General features: G+C 43.7%; 1 long non-coding RNA gene across 1 annotated transcript; it reads left to right on the forward strand.

The window, feature by feature from the left end:
- Positions 1–277: 277 nt before the first annotated feature.
- Positions 278–22,105, forward strand: LOC105370647 (uncharacterized). Its single transcript, XR_944180.4, has 3 exons — positions 278–561; positions 18,710–18,844; positions 20,431–22,105. It is a non-coding gene; the product is annotated as an uncharacterized LOC105370647 (long non-coding RNA).
- Positions 22,106–22,152: the final 47 nt, after the last annotated feature.

A 22,152-nucleotide genomic window follows, 5' to 3' on the forward strand; every position in this document is an offset into this window, starting at 1 on the left:
CCTCTGGTAGAAAATTGTAAGGGAAGTTCTGTCTTTGTCATCCTCATTTCAATGCATATGAATAGGCAAGCGCTTCAGGTAAAGGAAAGGACACTCTCTCTGCGCCTTCTCCCCTGGCACTTCAGGGGAGTGTGTGGGATGGGGGGGATCAGGTCACTGTCCCTCTTGGTTTGAATGTCTCTTGTCAAGTTGGCAGCATTCTGTGTGGTTCCCATGGCAACAGCTTTTTGTGTAGGGGGGAAGGGTCATGCACTGTGACCTCGGTGGAAAGGACAATGACAGCATGCCCGTCTTTCAGTGTTTTTGCCTCTCCTGATGGATTTGAGTCCAACCTTGAAACTGGGTGAATACAGGGCAAAGAACATGAAACACAACCATGGGGCGTCTGATCACGGGGCCGGGGAGTGCTGGACTTGGCCTTTGTTTACTGGGGAACAGGATGAGCAGCCCAGGCCACGAGCTCCATACGTGGGCTGCCGGCATCTTGAGTTGTAGTTGAGCACATTGGACCTCACAGCTGGTTCCCAGCTAATCTGGTTCCTGGTTAACTGCCTGGTCTGGGTGAGTGTTGCTGACAAGCTGTGGCAGAGCTTCCAAGAAGCCCCATCTGAAAATGGAGGCAGGGAAGCCCCTTCTGCCTCTGGTCCTTATTTCTTACCTAACTACTGCAGGGTCTTGTTCCTCTCGGGGTCTCGGCTTGTCTTCTGGGGTAGCTTCCTTTTCTCTGGTGATCTGAAGGCAGCTATTACCACCAGGTACTCACAGTGTTCTGACTTTGTGCCCCAAATCTCCACGGAGCCAAGCATCCATCTACTCAAAAGCTGCTTGCTGAGGGCCTAGAGGGTGGATGCTGGAGGTACAAGATGCAGAAAACAGAGCCAGTCGCTGCCCTTGTGGGCTTAAGGCTGGTGATAGAGATAGGCATTAAGCAAACACCTTATGAATATATACTTATCAATAGTGGTAAGTGCTAGTTATGTTCTGCCATTTTAAGAACTTAGTCAGTGCCTGTGTGTGGCCAGACAGGGTGCAAAGAGCTGGGAATCCAAAGATAAAGAAGACACAGACCCTCTCTAAAGGGAGAAATGATTATGCAATAAACATTCTGACTGACTTGGTGTAAAAGAAAGCACGTTCCCCCTGGCTCCTCCCAGGATGACCCAGCTTCTCATGTGGGTTCTGCACTTCCTAGATGAGTTTTCTCTAAGCTAGAGAAAACTCCCCTCAACCCTAGAGGGGAGTAATATGGCCTGCCTCTAGGTAAGGATGAAACAGCATAGGGCACTCTTAGCACAGTGCCCAGCAGGGAGGAAGTGCTCAGAACTGGTGGCAATCATGGTTCTCATAACAGAAAAGGTCGAGGGCACAGGGCACCATGGAAAGGACACCAACTTGGCATCAGGAGATTGTCACATGACCGTTTACCATCAAGGCACTTAGCTTCTCAGATCCCAGTGGCTTCCATTTGCAATGTATTTGGGTTCAATTTGGGGCAAGAAAGGTAATTGTATCTTTTTGGGGGTGACCCATTTTCAGCACCAAGATTCTGGTTTCCTTTGCCCAGGGTGCTTAAGCATTGTGCTTGAAATAGCCCCGTTCTCTCTGTTGTGTTTGTGCTGTGGAAGTGGCACAAACTCCTGCTTCCTGAGACTCCTGAGGGGAAATGGGAGGTGAGAGGACAGGAGGACAGGTGTGACAGGGGCAGGGCGATAGAAGAAGTGCAGGATGAGTCCTCCCTCCCTTCTTCCCTCTTTCTTCTCTTTCCTTCTTTTCTTTTTCTTTTTTCCTTCCTTTGTCCCTCCCTCTTCCCTCTCTCCCTCCCTCCCTCCTTCCTTCTTTCCCTCCTTCCTTCCATGAATAGTTTCCATCATGGACTCATCACTTTTTTGGGTGCTGGGGATTCCTGTACCTATATCTGGCTTGGCCTATAGTATGTGCTCAATAAATATTTGATAAGCAAACCAGTGAATGCACCAATAAAACAATGCTTACTTTGAAGCAGTGCTTCTCTATGCTGGCTGCATATCAGAATCACCAAGGGAGCTTTAACAGTATCCATGCCTGGGACCCACCCCAGACTAAGTGAATCCACATCTCAGGGTAAGGGAAGTACCTCTGCTATAATAGAAGCAGCAAATGGCAAAGGGCATGTTGAATGGTCAGTTGGCCAGCTGATAGGGCAGAAGCTCAGGGGGCTCCAGCCCTGTAGTCCTTGGTTCACTTTCCACTTTCCCAAGGCCATGGTAATTGTTTTGACATTGAGGATAACTGGAGAGTTCAGGGTGAGATGCTGGAGCCCATCACTTCTTTTACAAGGCAATTTTACCAAGAAGTCAGGTTGAGATGGCAAAGAAGGTAATGGGGGCTGAGAAGAAATTCTTACATCTGCTTAGAGCTTCACTCTTACTGAATATTAATACACAAACCTACTTTAACTGTGAGATCTCCTTGGAAGAATTACTGTGCCCATTTTGCAGATGGGAAGCTGAGGTGCAAGTTATTGCACGACCGCTCTGATGTCACTCAGATACAAAGGAGCACAACCAGGGTTCAGACCAAGAACTTCTGCTTTCAAGCACCTGACTACAGATGTGCAACTTCTTTAACACAAAGAGGAAGGAGGCCAGATTTAACCCCAATTCATAAGACTCCAAATCTATTCAAAGGAGGGAGAAGTTAATTCCTGATCCTCCTGGAGTTTAAAACTAGTTGATCACCCATCACCTTAACATACAAACCAAGACAGTTTGGGAATGAACTTTGAGCAGGACACCATGCCACTGAGGCTATAGAAGTTTAGAAAAGTGTAGTATGGGCTGGTGAAATCAAGGAAGGCTGCCTGAAGGAGGATGACTGAATTGGAAGTTGAACAATGAAAAGAATTCAGTGTAGACAGGATTGGGAGGAGGCCTTAACAGTGAGGGGATGTATGAACAAAGGGACAGATTTATTTATTTATTTATATAATTTATTTTTTATTTCAATAGTTTTTTTGGGGGAGCAGGTGGTTTTTCAGTTCTGCATAAGTTCTTTAGTGGTAATTTCTAAGATTTTGGTGCACCCATCACCTGAGCAGTGTATACTGTACCCAACGTGTAGTCTTTTATCCTCCCCTCACCAAACCCCCAAAGCCCATTATATCATTCTTATGCCTTTGCATCCTCATAGCTTAGCTCCCACTTACAAGTGAGAACATAAGATATTTGGTTTTCCATTCCCGAGTTACTTCACTTAGAATAATGGTCTTCGACTCCATCCAGGTTGTTGCAAATGCCATTATTTCGTTAGAGGGACAGATTTTTAAAAGACAGTTTTGTATACATTATGTATTGTATAACAGACCAACCCAAAATGCAGTGACTTAAAACGACATGCATTTATTCGGGCTCATGAGCCCATGGATCAGCTGGGCAGTTAGGCTGTCCTGGATCAGTCTTAATTGATCTCATGGGCTGGGCTCCTCTGTGTTTCTCTGGGGGGCTGGCTGTCTAGGAGATCCTCACTCGTGTCTGGTGTCTGGTTGGGGCTATGTCTCTATCATCCACTAGGCTAGCCCTGGCTCATTCATTCAGCAGCTGACCAGCATTCTGAGAGAGAACAGAAGCACAAGGGCTTCCTGAAGCCTAGAAAGGGCACCCTATCCTCTCCAGCTCATTCTAATGGTCAAGGCCTGCCCAGGTTCAAGTGGTGGTGTGATGGCCTCAACCTCTTGGTAAGAGAAGCTGTGAAGTCTCTTGCAGAGTGGAGTGGGTAGAGAGAGGGGGAATAATTAAGGCTATTTGTGCAAATAATTTTTTCTCTCTTTCTTCCTCCATCTCTCCTCTTTTCCTCCCTCTCTTTCTCCCTTTATCCATCTCTTCCTTTCTGCCATCCATGAATATTTCCTCTCTTCCTTCCATGAATATTTAATGGGCACCATTTGGGGCTCATCCCTGTGTTAGGAACTAGAGAGATGGAAGTAAATGGAACTTCAGCAGTCCCTGCCTCATGGAGCTTACATTCTGATGAGGCAAGACAAGTATGATCAAATAATCGCTACATGCTTGGTTGTATCCTATAGTAAATGCTATTTAAAAAATAAGTTAAATCCAGCACTATTCACAATAGGCAAGCTATAGAATCAACCTAACTGTCCGTCAGTGGATATATGGATTTAAAAAAGTGATATGATATATGTATATGGGACCATGAATAACTTAGGGTCACTTTCATTGCATGTATACATTATACACACACGCACGTATGCACAATGGAATACTATTCAGCCATGAAAAAGAATGAAGTCTTGTCATCAACATCAACATGGTTAGAATTGGAAGTCATTATATTAAATGAAATAAGCCAGGCACAGAAAGACAAATGATACATGTTCTCACTCATATGTAGGAACTAAAAAAGTGGATCTCATGTAGGTAGAGAGTTGATTGGTGGTAACCAGAGGCTGGGAAGGAAAGCGGGAGAAGGGGGATAAAGAGAGATTGGTTATTGGGTACAAACACGAAGTTAGCTAGAAGGAATTAGTTCTAGTGTTCGATAGCACAGTAAGGCAACATTCTTTAACAATTATTTGTTCCATAGTTCAAAATAGCTGTGGGAGACAACCTGGAATGCTTCCAGCGTAAGTAAAAGGTGAATATTTGTGGTGATGATGCTGCAGTTGGCCTGATTTGATCATTACACATTGTATGCATGTGTCAAAATATCACATGTATCCCAAAATATATACAACTATTATGTACCAATAACAAAAAGAAGTTCACAACCATTGTGGAAAACAGTTTGTTGATTCTTCAATAAGTTATATATGGAGTTACCATATGACACAGCAATTTCATTTCTAGCTACATAACCCAAAGAATTGGAATCACGTACTCAAAAACGTGTCCCTGAAACAAATGTTTATTGCAGCCCCATTCATGACAGCCAAGAGGTGGAGAAAAACCCAAATATCCATCCACTGATGAAATAAAATGTGGTATATGCAAACAATAAAATAGTATTTAACCATAAAAAGGAATGAGGAACTGACGCATGCTACAACATGGCCGAGCCTCGTGAGAACTTTATGTGACATGAGAGAAGTCAGTTACAAAGGCCACATATTGTGTGAACCCATTTATAGGAAATGCTCAGAAGAGGCAAATATGTGGAGACAGAAAGCAGATTGGTAGTTGCCAGGGGCTGGGATAGGGGGAGTGAGGAGTGGCTGCTAATGGGTATCCAGCTTCTTTTTGGGGTGATGAAATGTTCTGGAACTGGATAGTGGTGATAATAACACAACATTGTCGATGTGCTAGAAAGCCACTGAATTGTACATTTCAAAACGGTTAAAGTGGGGAATTTCACATTCTGTGGATTTTGTCTCTCTCTCTCTCTCTTTCTCTCTCTCTCTCTCACACACACACACACACAGAGAGAGAGAGAGAGAGAGAGAGAGAGAGAGAGAGAGAGAGAGAAAGAGAGAGAAGTGCAGCGAGTTGGGGGAGCTGTGGCCAGCAGTCTGATGGGTCTGGGAGTCCGAAGGCTCGCGGAGGAGAGTGTGATGTGGGGTCTGCTCCCAGAGCGCGCGCGCTGTGGCTCTTGGAAGGTGGGGCTCTGAGGACCGGGGTCCTGCGTGCATAGACCTGGAGCCCACCTTAAAGACGCTGCTTCAGGGACGCTTCAACAAGCCCCAACCCACCCAACTGCGTGGCGCTCCCCGCCTTTGGGCGCCCTGTTAGGGTTGGGGGTGACCCCTGCAGCCCCTCATGTGCGAATCCAGGTTCTCCTCCCCTCCAGGCTGCTTCCTGCACAGCAGCACCGAGCAGCAGCCACCTCAGGGCCAGGGAGCCCGAGCTGCGGGATCCGCCGCCCCGGGGCCGCAGCAGCTTCAGCTCCTTGGCGTCTGCGCCGGGGTCCTCGCGGCCGCCGCGAACCGCTCCTTCAGTTTCGCTATGCGGAGCGGGCGCGGGACCCCAGCAGGTGAGGGCCCAGGGCAGGTGCCTTCCCTCGCCCCGGCTCCCGCCCCAGCTCCTGGCCGGCCCAGCGCGTCCTGCTCCCGCTCTCGCCGTGCTCTCGGCGCTGCATGTCCCCGGGGCGCGGCGCAGCAGCTGGTGCCGCGGTGGGCATCTGTTCGGCCTCCTCTGTCCCCACGCGTGACCTGATCGCTGCGACAGCGGAATCCCACGGTGCAGGCCCAGAGCTGCGCCGAGAGCCGCGCGTCCAGCTCCTCCCGGGCCTGGGTTTAGGGTCCACAGCTCTTGCCAAATTCCAGAGGCTGGAAGGGACGCGAAGTTCTTCGTGACCCCAGCTTCTCAGGCAGCGCAGAGGACTCAGAAACTCTGCTGCAGCCCCGGAACGGGCCGAGGGCACCCACCCCGGCGGGGAGAAGGGCCGCTGGTGGTCTCTGCATCGCCTCTCTCGACCCAGACTCCTGTCTCTGTCCGAGATGTCCCAAAGTGGCCAGTTATTATCTGCAACACGGGTGCCTGCTTCAGGCCTAATGGGAAAGGGCTCAGCGGGCATGTTAATGGCTGGATATGTGACTGCTGCTGTGGTCGCCCCTAGGCCCAGCCCCAGCTGGGTTGTTACCGGAATCAAAAGGACACAGAAGCCGTTTCTATCTCAGCTGTGATGGAACGTGATTCATCTCCCAAGGAGCGGTGGGCTGTTCTTTCTTGTGCTGGGCTCCTCACCCAGTTCTCTCTTCCCCCAGGGGCCGGGGACCCCTACCTTTTTTAAGAGTCCTCTCTGCAGACAGTTCCCTTGAAAAGGACTTTCTTTCTGCGGTGCCTGGTTACGGGAGGCCAGCTGAGATGCTTAATAGTGAGACCAACTGTGCCCTGCAGACTGGCCCTGCGGCAGGGGCCCTGGTGACCTCCAGGACACACCCATGGGAGCCGTGGCTTGGGGTCAAAGGGCCCTGGGGAAGGGAACACTTTGGCGTTGATCGTCTGGGTGGCTCCAGTCTCTGCATCTTTCCTCTGTGTCTTTTTTTTTTTTTTTTTGAGAAGGAGTCTCTCTCTGTCGCCCAGGCTGGACTGCAGTGGTGCGATCTCAACTCACTGCAACCTCTGCCTCCTGGGTTCAAGCGATTCTCCTGCCTCAGCTCCGGAGTAGCTGGGACTACAGGCGCCCGCCACCACGCCCGGCTAATTTTTTGTATTTTTAGTAGAGACGGGGTTTCACCGTGTTAGCCAGGATGGTCTCAATCTCCTGACCTCGTGATCCGCCTGCCTTGGACTCCCAAAGTACTGGGAATACAGGCGTGAGCCACTGCGCCCGGCCTCCTCTATGTCTCTTAAACTTGAATGTGACAGAGACCTTTTGTGCTTTCTTCTAAAACAGATTTTAAAGACCCCCTCAGATAAATGAGAAACTGTAAAAAATGATGGTCTTACCCTCTGAAAATGTTTTAAAATCAAGCATTATTACAGCAAAAGAGACTTTTGCTCTTTAAATGGTCATGTTTTGTATGATTCAAAGGAAAAGACAAAAATCAAAAAAAGTGTCTTGTAGACTTTTTAACTCTTCAGGACTTTGTGCACCCTGAGGGCTCCACAAATCCAACTGTTGACAGCATTGTCTTTCTTCATGTGATCATCACAGCACAGATGTGAAATGGAAGGAATTACCCAATTTTCAGGGTGAGGTAAACTGAGGCTAGGAGAGGGCATGAGATTTGGCAGAAGGAAGTGATGCAGATTGAACTGCAGGGGTGTCTGATACGTGTTCACCCACCCGGAGGCGTGCAGGCCTCTACCGCTGAATCCGAGCTACCAAATGCTGTCTTCTGCAGGGCTTGAAGTTTATTTTCAGCAACTTACATCTCTCCGTTACAGGCCATTTGTCCCTTTTGTAATAGTTTCACTTCCAATCTCTCCCTTGCTCAAATTATTCTCCCGCACTTCAAGGAAGAGGAGTAAGAAGGAGATTAACATTGATGTTACTCTGCAAGGTACCTTACATCCACTATTTTGTTGGCTCCTCGCTAGAGCATTTTGAAGCTGGTGTTGTTCCCATTTTAGAGTTGAGAAAGGCAGTACTCAAGAGGTGAGATAACCAGCCCAAGTTCACATAGCCGGTAAATGGCAGAGCCAGGATTCACATCTCGAGAGGGTAATCTGACCCCAAAGGCCCTTCTTTTCCATAGCATCATGTTGGAAGATGTAAGGATCTGCCAGGGACTCCCTGGGGGCAGAAACCTGGAGAAACAACTTATCCAAAGCATTTCTTTAGCTGACTTCCCTTTTTTTCCCTCCCTGTTGTATGAAAAATTCATACTTGCCATTAAGAGGCAATGGGAAGGGGGCTTTGGGCAGTCATCAATTCAAGAAACAGGATTAGCATGCTGGATCCATGAAGCACAGAAGGAAGGAAATGTAACTCAAAGAAAGTCACTGATGATTATGTACAGTGGAGACACATGTAATGGTATATTCTAGCCCACGAATAAAATGGCCAAAGGGCTTCAGAGGAAAGAAATCAGCCTGAAGCCCAGGAGCAAGGGATAACCAGTTTTTCTCTCCTGCAGTCTGGCCTCCAGGTTCGACTGTGTTTTTGTCTTGCCCTTCTCAGACAAACGTCTATCTTGGTCTCCACTCTGTATCTCCATCCAGAAATGCTAGTCATGTGGCCATCATAGGATGCACCAAGTACATATTTGAATTACGTAGTTAAATAACAATATTGATCACAAGCGTAATCATATATATTCACATGGCATTTACTTTTAACATTCTTTCACGTGCAAGACGTCACTGAGTCTCCACAGCAGACTACTAAGATCCTGAGGATAAGGCTTATTTTCTTCCTCTTGTTGCCAAAGCAACTAAGCCTCAGTGGGGCTGGGGAAATGAAATGCTGCCTTTGACATGGAATGAAGCAACGCCCCATGCCAGCAAGCCTATCAGATTCTCCAGGACCCACTCCAACCCCCATCAGGCCGTCTCCTGACCTCACACTGGCAGTCCCTAGAATGCTTTCCTGTGCGTAATGACATTTCGCTTTCCCAGTATCCCTGTGTGATACATAGTTTTTCAAAATTGCCTGTCAATTTCATGAATACAGAAGACTAACATCCCAAAGGAGGCAATGACTTGCTCGAGGCCCCACAGTGGAACCAGGGCTTGAACTCATGCCAACTGATATGAAGTCTTAGGTCTTTTTGCTACGACACAGGTGCCTCTGTATCTGCAGTTGGTTTTGATGGCATGTGCGTGTGTGTATGTGTGCGTGCACACACACGTGTTCATGTTGATGAGGGAAGGAAGAACGACAGAAGGGGCTACCTTTTGGATGATGCTAAAAACGAGCCCTGTCTAACTGGTATCTGTGCCTTTACTGTGTTGGACATTAGAACTATTCAAAAGAAGTTCAAATCACTTGGGAGTCAACATCTCAAAATACAACTGCCCCTCAAAGCGTGGCTTATTTAGAAAGGGTGCACGGGGAGGGCTTTGGCTCTGGAACGGAATGACAGGAAAGAGCTCCTGGGGTGTTCATTGTCCCAGTCTTGATGGCTGGGCTGAGATTATGGCTTGGGGGATGAGAGTCCATTTATCTGGTTCATTCCCACAGTCTAATTGGAAAAGTGGAATTACCACTTAAGACTGATGGTAACAGAACGTCTTTAAGCGATGAAGCTAAAATGAGCTGTGAAGTTATATCCAGGAGCCGACCACTTTTGACTGCAGCAAGAGGTTTTATTTGAAATTAGAAAATGAAAATTACCGATCAATGCAGTAAGAATAGAATGAATCGTGTTTCAATTGCACTACAGGAAAATGTAACTCAGAATCAAGATGTCCTATTTACCTTCTTTCCAATTCCAGCTCCTTACACATAATGGCAACATATATAAATAGATAATGCATTGGTGAGCAGCAGACACAAGCCTCAGCATCTCTGACCTTCAGATCAACCCGGTGGCAGTAAAATGAGCTCTGGGGAAGTTGGACAGAAAGAGGGAACCTCTGTGGGCTTCATCCTAAGGGATAAAGTGTAAGCCCTGCCCTGTGGTCCTTCTGTCAACTTAGAATGCTGTGGGTTTGTGCTTTTTTTTAATTGAAAAAGTCAGGGCATGATTTCAATGAACAACACTGAGGCCAATGAGAAAGATTTGTTTTCACAATTGCTAAAACAAGTAGTCATTGTGATGAAAGAAATCATTCCAAACAGAAAACTGGCATTGTGGAAGGCATCGGAAGAAGGAATTTATATTATAATTTTTAAAATTAGTATTATTGGTGTTGTCAACAGACTGATCGCTTTTATTCCTTGGGCAATTAATATGGCCTGCATGATTTTCAAACATGATCTATTCATTCATTCAAGAGCTACGTTCTGAGTGTCTAGTATGCACCACGTGCTGCGGATACAGTAGTGAACAAAGATAAAAATTTCTGCTTTCATGGAGCTTTTATTTTACTGGAAGACATGCAAAATAAGAATGATGAGTGCTGCAGAAAAAATAAATCAGGGAAGGGAGAGAGGGTGTGCTGGGGAGTGGTCAAACATAGTTTGCATTTTTACACAGCATCATCAGGCAGGTAGGAGATGAGCAATGGAGGAGATGAGGGAGTGAGACGTGAATGGCTGAGGAAGAGCAGAGGGAACAGAAAGTGCAAACAGCCAGAGGTGGACACTTGCTTATTGTGTCCAGAGAACAGGAGGGCGATCACATATGCTTGTGCAGTCTTCAGAAGCCCACTGGGAGATCATGTCACAGAAGAGAGGGCTCAGACTCAGGGCAAAGTTGCACAACTTGACCAAGAGTCTGTGCCATTAACCACTGTGCACATCTGTTTCCACCATCCCAGGGATCTTTTTGGTGATGTGAAAACCACCTGGCTCAATGTGAAGATATTGGAGCCTTCCTTCAGAAAGGTTTGAAAATGAAGAGTTGAAGACTGTTATTTTGCTTCCTGAAAATCTCTCATCTATTCATTTGTCTGTATCTTCAGACCATCTGCCCTGGTTCAAGCTGCCCTGTCTCTCTCATGGATCCCTGAAAGAGCTGTTGTTTGTTCTCCTTGTGTCCACTCCACTTTGCTCCAAGCCATTCCCCACATAGGCCAGAATGATCTTACAGAAATACAAATCTGATTATATCATCATGCCCCAACTTAAAATCCTTCAACAGCTTCCTATGGCTCTTACAATTGAGTCCTGAATCCATCATGGGAGCAACGCCATCCTGTCAGGTCTGCTCCTGTCCTTGTTTCTAGCCTCCTAACTCTTTTTCTACAGCCTGTGCCCCAGCCCTACCTGCTTCTCAGACACACCATGCGGCTTCCTGTCTCATGTCCTTCATGGGTGTGCACTTGTTTCCATCTGGTATGGTCCCTTATCTTCTGCCTGTTAATCCTGTCTCTATATTCATCAAAGCTCAGTTCAAATGCTACTCCTTGCCTTCCCTGTGCTCCAGCCTCTGACTCTCTCAAGTCCTGGCTAGATCCCTGATTTGATGTCATGGTCCCCAGCATTTTCTGCACTGTTCTGTCATGATACTTGTTACACTTACATTTCTGATCATTTGTTTACTGCTGTAACCCAGCATCTACAACAGTATCTAAATGCCCAACAAGTACAAATAAACACATGCCTCCCTGCCAGACCCTAATGTCCATGAGGGCAGGGATCACTTGTTTTACTCCCATAATTCCTCTTGTGTTTAGCTCAGTGCCTGGCACCCAGAATGTACTCCATAATGACTTCTTGAAGGAATGACTGCAGTTTGCAAAATATGAGCCTCCAGTGTTTTTCTCTGATCCTGTCTGGGGGAAGCTCCTTACAGATGCATTAATAGATGAATCCCATCTACAATCTTCATCTTGTTTTACCTATGAGCTCATCCAGCTGTGTCCCCAACCTGCCACCCAGAGTGGCTTGCTGTGTTTCTTTGTTTGTCTTGCTTCTGTGGAGTCTCAAAAGCAATTTTTTGGCTCACTTCTAAACATTCTGTGAGTCTGTTCAGTATGCAGACTCCAGGCTTTTTGATTTTGCTTCCCTTTCCTCCCTCTGCCTGATTTCCTCAAGAACATATTTTCTTCTTTAGTGTTGACTATATTTTTATACATTGCCCCAAATTCATTGTGAATTAGTGTAGAAACGGAATAAATAAAAACTTGAGTTTCCAGCCATACCCAGAATTGGATAGACTAGGGTGTATGTTGGGTGCCAGGAAGGATCCAAGCCAAAGCCCCGCTTACTACACCATGGCTCATGATCCTGAGCCAGGGACTCTCTTCAGATCCCCACTCTATCTGCCCAGTTACTTTGCCTCATCTTTCTGGAAGGTATCTTTCTGGATTTGGGAACTATCATGAATCCAGCCAGGTCACATTACCATGTCAAAGTTTTGCCAAAAGATTTTACCCAGAGCCTGGGCTCAGCTCACTGTGACCTGTCTTTCCCGTACATACTCAACACTTGCTGAGATCTTTCAGAAAATTGGCTAGCCTTGAAAGCTGTGCTTTTGTTTCCCATGTCTCTTCATTAGGGCTTCATGTTCTGGTTTCACTTCCTGAATTAGATCTTCTGGGACCCATGAATGTCTGGGTTATCTTGGGGTGGCTGTGTTGAGGTGTTTTCCTGCATTCCCACAGTCTCTCAGAAGCTCCTCAGCTCAGGGCATGTTCTTCTTTCTGTTTAAAGTACATCCCCTTTAAAAAGCATATAGTTGGGTCTTAATGTTTTAGTCCAGTCTGAAAAATCTCTGCCTTTTAATTAAAATATTTAGTCCATTTATATTTAATGCAATTATTGTTGTGGTTGAGTTTAAGTCTGCTTTACCATTTTGCTATTCATTTTTCACTTGTCTTATTTAATTTTTGTTCTTTCCTTCTCCTTTTTACTTTTTCTAAAAAATAAATATTTTTTAGTATTTGATTTTATCTGCTACATTGGTTCTTTAGCTATATCTCTGTGTTATTTTTCACACTTATCTTAGCCAAAAGGTGACAAAAGGATCCTCTGTGTTATTTTTCTTAAAGAGGTGCTCTGGGGATTATAATATGCATGTTTAACTTATCACAATCTATCACGAATTAATATTATACCACTTTACATATACAATAAGAACTTTATAACACTAAATCTCAATTTATCCTTTCTGTAGTTTGTATTACTGTTATCATACATTGTACTTCCATATGTTATAAATTATAGCATTTATAACATTGTTATTAATTTTGTTTTAAATAATCAATTATCTTTTAAGGAAATTAAGAAACAAAAAACTTGTCTTTTAAATGTATCTATGTATTTGCCATTTTTGAGGTTCTTCATTACTTTGTATATATTAAAGCCTCCATTTGGTATAATTTTTCTTTAACATAAAGAATTTCCTTTAACATTTCTTAGAGGGTAGGTCTGCTAGTGATGGATTATCTCAGCTTGTGTTTATCTAAAAATGTCTTTATTTTGAAAAATATTTTTGCTGGATATAGAATTATAAATAGACAGCTCCCCCTTCCCCAGCATTTTGAAGATGTTGTTTTATTGTGTTCTGGTCTGCATTATTTCTAATGAGAAGAGTAGTCATTCTTACCATTGTTCTTCTGTGAGTAATAGTTTTTTTTCATTGCCTCTAGCTGCTTTTAATATTTTATTTTTATCTTCCATTTTTAGCAATTTGACCATGATGTCTCTGGAAGTGTGTTTATTTTATTTATTTAATTATTTATTTTGGTTTATCTTGCTTGGGCTTTGCCAAATTTCTTGGAATATAAGTTAATCTCATCAAATTTAGAAAATTTGGACCATTATATTATCAAATATTTTTTCTATCTTAATCTCTCTTCTCTTTTAGGGACTGCATATATTTGGGATTATACATATATTAGATCAGTTGATATTGTTTCACAGGTCACTTAGGCTCTTTATATTTTTGTCCACCCCCTTTCTCTATGCATTATTTTGAATAGTGTCTATTGCTCTGTCTTTAATTATACTGATTCTTTGCAGTGTTTAATTTGCTGATATTCCAACACATCCAGTGAATTTTTCTATTCAGGTTTATTTAATATTTCAGTTCAAGAATTTTCCATTTAGTCATTTTAAAAATAGTCTATATTTTTCCACAGAGATTTTCTATTTCTTTCCTCATTATATCTAGTGTCTCATTTAGATACTTAAACATTTTTATGTTTCTTATTATTTTCTCCTGGTTCTAATATCTTCATTATATACGTGTCCATGTTTATTGACATTTTTCTTCTTGATTGTTGGTTATATTTTTCTGCTTCTTCTCATGTTCAGTAACTTTTGATTATATGTTGGATATTGTGGATGTTATATTGATGAGGGTCTTGGTTTTGTTGTCTTCCTTTAAAAATTGTTGGGTTTTGTTTTGACTGGTAGTTAATTTATTGGTGGATCAGCTTGATCCTTTTAAGACTTGTTTTAAAGCTTTGTTATTTGTGGGTCTAGTGGAGACTTTACTTAAGGGCTAGTATGACCCTAATTCTAAGTTTCGGCCTTTCTGGAGATTCAGCTGAACACCTGGAGAGTCTATTGAGGTCTTTGTCCCTTGTCTGTTCAGAATGGCACCAGGTACTAGCACTGTATAATTTTCAAAATCTCTATTCGCCTTATAGCTTCCCAGTAGTTGTTACCTGCTAGGCCAAAATGAAGTCTTTTCACGCACTTGCACAGCTTAGTATATGGCCAGAGACTTAAAAGAATCCCTATGGAGATTTTGAATTTCCCTTTCTGTGCATCTCCTTCTTCTCTGGCACCCCACTGTGTAAATTCCAGTGCCCCTCAATAGTCCCAAATTCTAATCTCTGCCTTCTCAGTCCAGTAACACCACCATGTTTTCTTGGGCTCCACCTCTTTATACTGCAGAACATAAAACACCTTCAAGCAGAAAGCCAGAGCAATTGTAGCACTTACTTCACGCATTTACTTTCTCTCAGGGATCATAATCCTATGATGACTCTTGTGCGATATCTGAAAACATTTGCTGCAGATATTGCCCAGTTTTACAGTTGTTTTCAACAGGAGAAATAATCTAGTACTAGTTATTCCATCATGAGTAGAACCAGAAGTTTTGTCATATCCTCTGTTAACTGTGCCTGAATGTTGTAAACCACCTTAAAACCCAGTTTTCTTTTTTCCTAAGTAACTGGTGATTATTTACAAGCAGCAAATAAATTGGTCAATACCCTTTTCTTGGTCACTGCTTAGGCAGAGGATGGAGGAATGAAATGGGATAAGATAAACTCTTAGGTAGGCGTATGACAGGTACTATGAAAGATTCCATGATGGAAATTGTTAGCAGGAGTGGGTTATGAGTGTTTATATGGGTTATTAGTGTTAGCGCCTGTTCTCCACTGTTGATATTTCCTTCAAAGTGGAGAGACACTTGTTAGAGGAATACTCTTGGTCACCTGCCTTACCCTAACTCTTCTCAAGTGGGTAGATAGAGTTACTTGATTGGTAAATTTGAGAGTAGAAATGAACATGTTCAGCTGCAGCCCTTTCTCCTGCTCTGCCCTTGGAGATCCAGCTACATGGTTTACTCTTCCGTGGCTTAATTTGTACAATAATATCTGAGAAGACAGCAGGAGCTCAATAAACGGTAGAATCAGAAGTTATTATTATTACTATTATTATTATTATTACTTTTTTTCTCATTTCCATTTCCTTTTTCATTTTAAGGGGCCTCTAGAAAACAAAACTTGAGCGATCATCTTAGGTCTGCCCTACCTTGTTTGTGTATGTAATGGGGAAGTGATTTCCATGTAAGAGAATTCAAATGGGAAAAGAGCGGCACTCATGAAATCCCTTGGCTCACCCAGAAAACCCTGAAGGTAAACCTGGTCCATTTTGCAATGGCTTCTCTCTGGAGACATTCAGAGTCATTGGGATTGTTCATTAGTAGGGTGCAGAGACTCCAAGATGGCAGGTACCACTGCTACTATCCACTGATAGCATGGATGCCTTATGGAACTTTTCCCCAGGAACATATACGTTCCTAATCTTGTGTTACTGGAGTTATTAATGTAACTGTGATATTTTCTGAGTGCACGCATGCAATCTAGGAAGCAAAGAGTGTTTGAAGTATGCTGGGAAGTGAAGGAAGTCAGGCTAAGTTGGGAAAATCAACCCTGTAGATTAATTATAGAGTGCCAGGATTGGTACAGTCTCAGAATTCATTGCTCTAGATAGATAATTCTTATCCTTTTGTTTGTCTCCCACACATTCATAGAATTCTGGCAAAGAACCAAAGGGGATACAGTGTGGAGGTTATAAGCATCAACTCTGGTGGTGCTAGATTATCTGGGTTAGGTCCCTAGTTTCATCCCTTATTGCCTACATGGCCTTGGGGAAATCCTTTAACCTCTCTGTGCCTCAGTTTATTCATCTGTGAAACAGTAGCAACCTACCCATAAGGTTGTTGGAAAAATAAAATTAAAATAAACTCAATGATATAAGATGAAATGAGATAATATGCCATAATTTTAATATTGTGAGTTAGGTTAGCTAACATTTATAAGTGTTCTTATAGACCAGACCCTATCCTAAATACTTAGCATGTAATAATTCATTAACCTTCACACATAGAATCCTATGAGATAGGTCGCTATTATTATCCCCATTCTACAGATAAGGAAACAAGAGTTTTCTAGTTAGTGCTGGAGCTGGAACTCCAGGCCTATCTGCCTCTAGAGAGGAGCACGTGGTGAACAAGGTACACTGTTGTTTTCTCATTCATAACTTTCTCAATCATGCCCAGGGGCCTGAAGTTCGGAGGTGTGCTCCACCTGTGTGTGAGACTGGGTTCGATATACACCCCACCCCCCCATCATACTCTCTGAGGCCCTTGCCCTGCTCTCTGGACCTTCCTGCCCCCCACTGTCCAAGACTAAGCTTTCTTCAGTGGCCCTGGTTGGGGAAGTGTTTTCTTTAAGCTCACACATGACAGTCTTGGGACCAGGTCTCCAGCATTCTAGCCCACTATTCCTTTGGACTTCCATGGGGGAAAAGTTTTATGGCAGCTTCTGGGCAGGCAGCAGCAGATGAGACAGAAGATGACAAGGAGGAGGTGGAGGCTTGTGGATGTCACTGATGCCACCATGACTCAGTGATGGTGACCAGGGTTACTAGAGGTGACAGGACAGCTGCCTGGGTCACTGCTGGGCGCTAGGAAAAAGGAGCAGGAAAAGGGAGAAGATAGCTTGTGGAAGGGCCACCAGGAGAGCCCAGCCACCGGGACATGAGAGGAAGTGGTCTGCATTGGTCCCGGAGCTCAACTCAGAGAGCACTGTTCGTGGAATGAGAGCCAGCACCTGTTAGTACAGTGCCTGGCTTGCTTCTATGGAGCCCTCACTCACATCGTCTGATTTTGATTCTTCTATAAGTCTGGGAAATAGGCACAGCAGATGCTGCTATAATTGTTTCCCCTTAAAGATATAGAAAATAACAGCCACAAACTCAAAGCTGGGTGCTGTATGCACTGCTTTATCTGTGCCATTTCAGTCCTCACAATGGCTCAACACAGGGGGACTGTTTTCTTCCTTATTTGATCGATAAAATGAGGATCAGAGTCTGAGCAAGTTGCCTGAGGTCACACAGCTAGCAAGCAGCAGACCTGTGAGGTGCCCAGGCAGCTTGGCTCCAGAGATTCCTCTATGAACCACTGTCCCCCACCACCTTCTGGGCTGAATGTCTCACCTAGGGGGACATCATTCATCACTGGAAGTGCTGGAACTCCCATCCAGATCTCCTGCTTCCAAATCCTATCTTCTTCTCCCTACTTCATGGACTTCCCACAATCAACCTGGTTGTATTATGTAATGTGTCTTTTGGGGAGAAGGGTCCTATTTTGAAGAAATGTCAGAAATAATGCCAATATCGCATTTCACAAGTTCCGAGGCAATAATGAAATCTTAGGGAGGGTTACAATCTTCAGTCCAGGAAGAAAAAAAGAAAAGATGAGTATAAAGGACTATTGATGTTTTTCTCTCTGTTCATCCCAGTGAGTATCCTAGATTTGTATGATATATTTAAAACATCATATTTAACTTCTCATGCAAGTACAGTGCATTTGTGTTTCATGTAAATATTTGTGGATTTTGACTTGCCTGTGTTACTAGTGGTGCTCTTGACGTGTGGACTTAGGAGCCTGGAAAGATCAGGATGCCCAAGACTGTTGCAGAACCCTAAAATGATCATCACTCCCCACCTCTACTATGTCAGCTCTTTTCTTCCCATTCCTTACCTAGACCAGAAAGAACACCTCTTTTCTCTCTGCACACACACATACATAAAAACTGAGGAAGATATTCAGGTGAGGAATCATCACTGTCTTATCCAGTGATCCTCAGTGTTGGTCCCCTTGTCTGTTTCATCTGCACTGGAAGCTCCATGTTTAACTCCCCCACGTCGAGCACAGTGCTTGGCACACGGTAGGATCTCAGCCTACATCTGCCGGACCGATCCTTGGAACAGCCGGCCTCACACATCTCTGATGTGTGGTCAGGACCACCCGTTTCCTTCTCACTGAGCAGATCCTTTTCCCCAGCCATGCCTAATTTAATTTCTGCATGCAAGGTGTGATGGTGAGTTTCAAGTGTCAACACGGCTAAGCCAGCTACTTAACCAAACATGAATCTAGGTGTTGCTGGGGAGGTATTTCGTAGATGTGGTTAACATGTAGATTCAGTGACTTTAATGAAAAGGGATTATTCTGGAATAATGTGGGTGGTCTTTATCCATTCAGTTGGACGGCCTTCCAAGGCAGAACTGAAGTTGCCAGAAGAGGCAGAAATTCTGCTTCAACTGCAGCATCCACTTCTGAATCTCCAGCCTGCTGGCCTGCCCTGTGGATTCTGGACATGCTAGCCCCCACAATCCTGTAAGTCAACTCCTTAAAATAGTCTCTTAACATACATATTCTATTAGTTCTGTCTCTCTTCAGAACTCAGATTGATACACTAGGGCACAACAGCCGTTACACCGTTCCTTTAAGCCTTCTCTTCTCCCTTCAACCCAGCTGGTTTGCTTTCTGGATGTTGTGCTTGGGCTTCCTGTCCCACCAAGCAAATAAAAAACACTTTTTTTTTTTTTTGTTTCTGCCCCTCTCTCTGTGACAGCCAGTCATGGAGAGCTCCATGTTGAGACTAAACTCTTCCACTTTCATCCTGGGGAAATTCTCTAGGGAGAAACCCCCTGAATCAGCATGTGCCATGAGATTTGGTCTTCTGAGAATCTGGTCACTGCTTTGAACATTGAAAAAAAGATGTCTTAGAGTAACCAGGCCATTCTCACACCTGCCCTCGGTGGCGTCAATATATTTCTCGTTAATTTACAAGCGGGAATGTGCACATGGCCTTGAGCTTGGATACATTTGATGAAGAATACGACAGCCTGAGCCTTGGGTTTGTTTGTTTTCCATCTCCTGGAAACTTGAAAGAAGGAAGTGTTATATACACACGGATAGGTATTTCACCTCCGAAGAATCCCAGGCGTGGAGTTTGAAGAGTCACATCTCATTCAACATTCTTTCCCCAAGTTCAGTGATCAGACAAATAGACATATGGAAGTTGCTAAAGTTAGGTACCGCAGATAGGGGAAAGATGTTCACATGGCACCGCGTTCTTCAGCCCTCTCTCAGCACAGAATACCATCCTGTTAAAAACGGTCTATTTTTATGGAACTCTTTTGCTTATATTGAGATATAAAATTATTAGTCTGAGGTTGGCTCACATCATCAGAGCTTCAGATTCTTGGCAGAGTTGTCTGCAGTCTGTTCCAGTCACTCATTGCCAGGGACAGAGCCCGCACAGGAGCAAAAATAGGTCTTCCTGCTGAAACCTGCTGAGCTACCAGGAAAGCGATGTGCGAGAAGAATTTAATATCCTGGCCTTAAGAAAGTTTCTGTGTTCTCCTCAGACAGACTTGCCCTTGGTAGGTGACTGATAATATGAAATTATAGAGTTTCAGCGAGGATCGGGAAGTAGCAAAAGGAGACTTGGCAACCAGTGGCCCTGTTATAGGAGAGTTTTTGCATATAAATTACATATGCATATGACATTTTAGCTCCAACTTTACATGTGTTTTGGAGGCTGGATGCAGTCCTGTCCCTGCCTGTCTGTTTGCTTTTCCCATTGCAGCATCAATATTAATCCTGCTGTTTTTAGTTCGCTTTGAAGAAAAGCGTGGGTTTTCTTTTCTTTATTTGAAACCGCAAGAGGGACACTGTAGTTTTTAGTGCTGTATCAATGTCCTGTATTATTATTGTTATTATTATCATCTTTTGGAGAACCTTGCATCTTTTATGCAGAAAAGCATCCCATCTCTCATTTTGTCTAAACATTTCCAAGGAGCACCCTGCTCCCATGACCTCCCTTTGAGCATGCTTCAGAGCAGTGAAGCTTTGGGTAAATGTCCTTCAAGATGTGGTCCTATAATCGATTGTTATTTTCTTCTTAAAAATTACAGAGCCTTCCTATGAGGGAAAGATGTGACATGAGAACAAACTGTTTGGAAGCATCCGGGAGCTGTGGCAGGTGATTTGGAAGTAACCCGGATAGTCCTCAGTAGGAGAGCCTGCAGCCCTCACAGGGTCATGGCGTCCAAGAGCTAAAAGGACCTTGGGAGCGTGTGTTAGAACCCTTCACTTCACTGGTGGAGGAGGGAGGGCTCTGAATGGAAACTGGCTTGCTGGAGGCTGAACTGGGACTAGAACTCAAGTCATCGAAATTCTTCTCTAAGATTCCTTTTGCAGGCCGCACTGGGGGTCTGTGGGCCAAATCTGACCTGCTACCTGCTTTTGCATGGCCTCAAGCTAAGAATGACTCTTTTACATTTTTAGATGGTTGAAAAAAAAATCAAAAGGCCTATGAAAATTATATGGGATTCAAATTTCAGTGTCCATAAAAAATGTTGTATGGGTGCACAGCCACGGCCATTTGTTTATTGTTATCATCTGTTATTGTTATCATTGTTATGTTATTATTTTGTGCCACAACGGCAGATTTGATCAGTTGTGAGCATGAATGTATGGCCTGTGAAGTTGAAAACACTATAGAAAAATGTGCTGACCCCTGCTCTACCACACTCCAACTCTTCATCCTCCAGATGGGCTGACACGGTTATCACTTTCTTCTTATTCAGTCAAATCTACCCATTCATTGCTAGGTCTGGTTTTTGCCATTTATATTCAGGATTTCTTTAGAACCAAGTTCAGGCTAAATGTTTTATTGGGGAGTTCAGTACAAATTGGTGCACGGGAGGGAGGTCTTTGATTTGACTTTTGTGATCCCAATATCTAGTTCTACTAATGATATTTAAAATGGTATTAATAGTTGTATATCAGCCAGAACTAGAGGAGGGATCTGTCTAATTCTCCACTCTGTAGCTTGGTTCACACCTGGGATTCATGGTGGTCACTACACTTATTAAAAGGGATATTGACAAAACATGTGTAGGCTAGTGTGAGCAAGTGATAAAGAGAACTCAAAACTTTTTCCTTGAAATACAACTAATGTAGTTTGTTTCAGAAGAGGTACAAGCATCTCTTGTCAGATCCAAGAAAAGGCTGGCACATTTCATCCAAAGTTGAGTTCATTCCCCATCCAGTTAGGTCAAGTTAGAACGAGGGTTGCCATCCAGTTAGGTCAAGTTAAAATGAGGGTCACCAGCCTGGGTCCTAGGGTAAACGTTTAATTCTGACATCAGAGTTTCTGTTTGAAGGAAGTAGCATATGAAAATTTTCTTTTTTAAAAAATTCAGTTAAATAAATGTATTAATTTAGTATGGAGAGGTTTTGGATGGTTTAGCAAGATATACCACAAATACCAATTAAGATACACAATATTTAAAGCAATGTCCAAGAACAATTTTCCAAAACATAAGCCCTTAGCTCTTCAAAGTAGAGGTTTTTTTTTCTCCACTCTGTAATGTCTTACATGGGGATAATGTAAAGAAAAAAGGAGACTCCTTGGTTTTGCTGTGGGGTGAAACAGAGCTAGGAGCTGGCCAGGCAGACATGTTCTCTGTGATTTGCATGTTATCAGGAAGCCTCTGGCTTGCTGAAATTCTTCATTAGAAACTCCAACTCCAATTTGATACATTTCAGACGTCACAATTTTCACTAATAAAGAGATTGAAGAAATGTTCTCTGAGTAGATCACTCATTCACATAACAAATATTTGCTAAAA

Source organism: Homo sapiens, chromosome 14 (assembly GCF_000001405.40).
Source record: "Homo sapiens chromosome 14, GRCh38.p14 Primary Assembly".
NCBI lineage: Eukaryota > Metazoa > Chordata > Mammalia > Primates > Hominidae > Homo > Homo sapiens.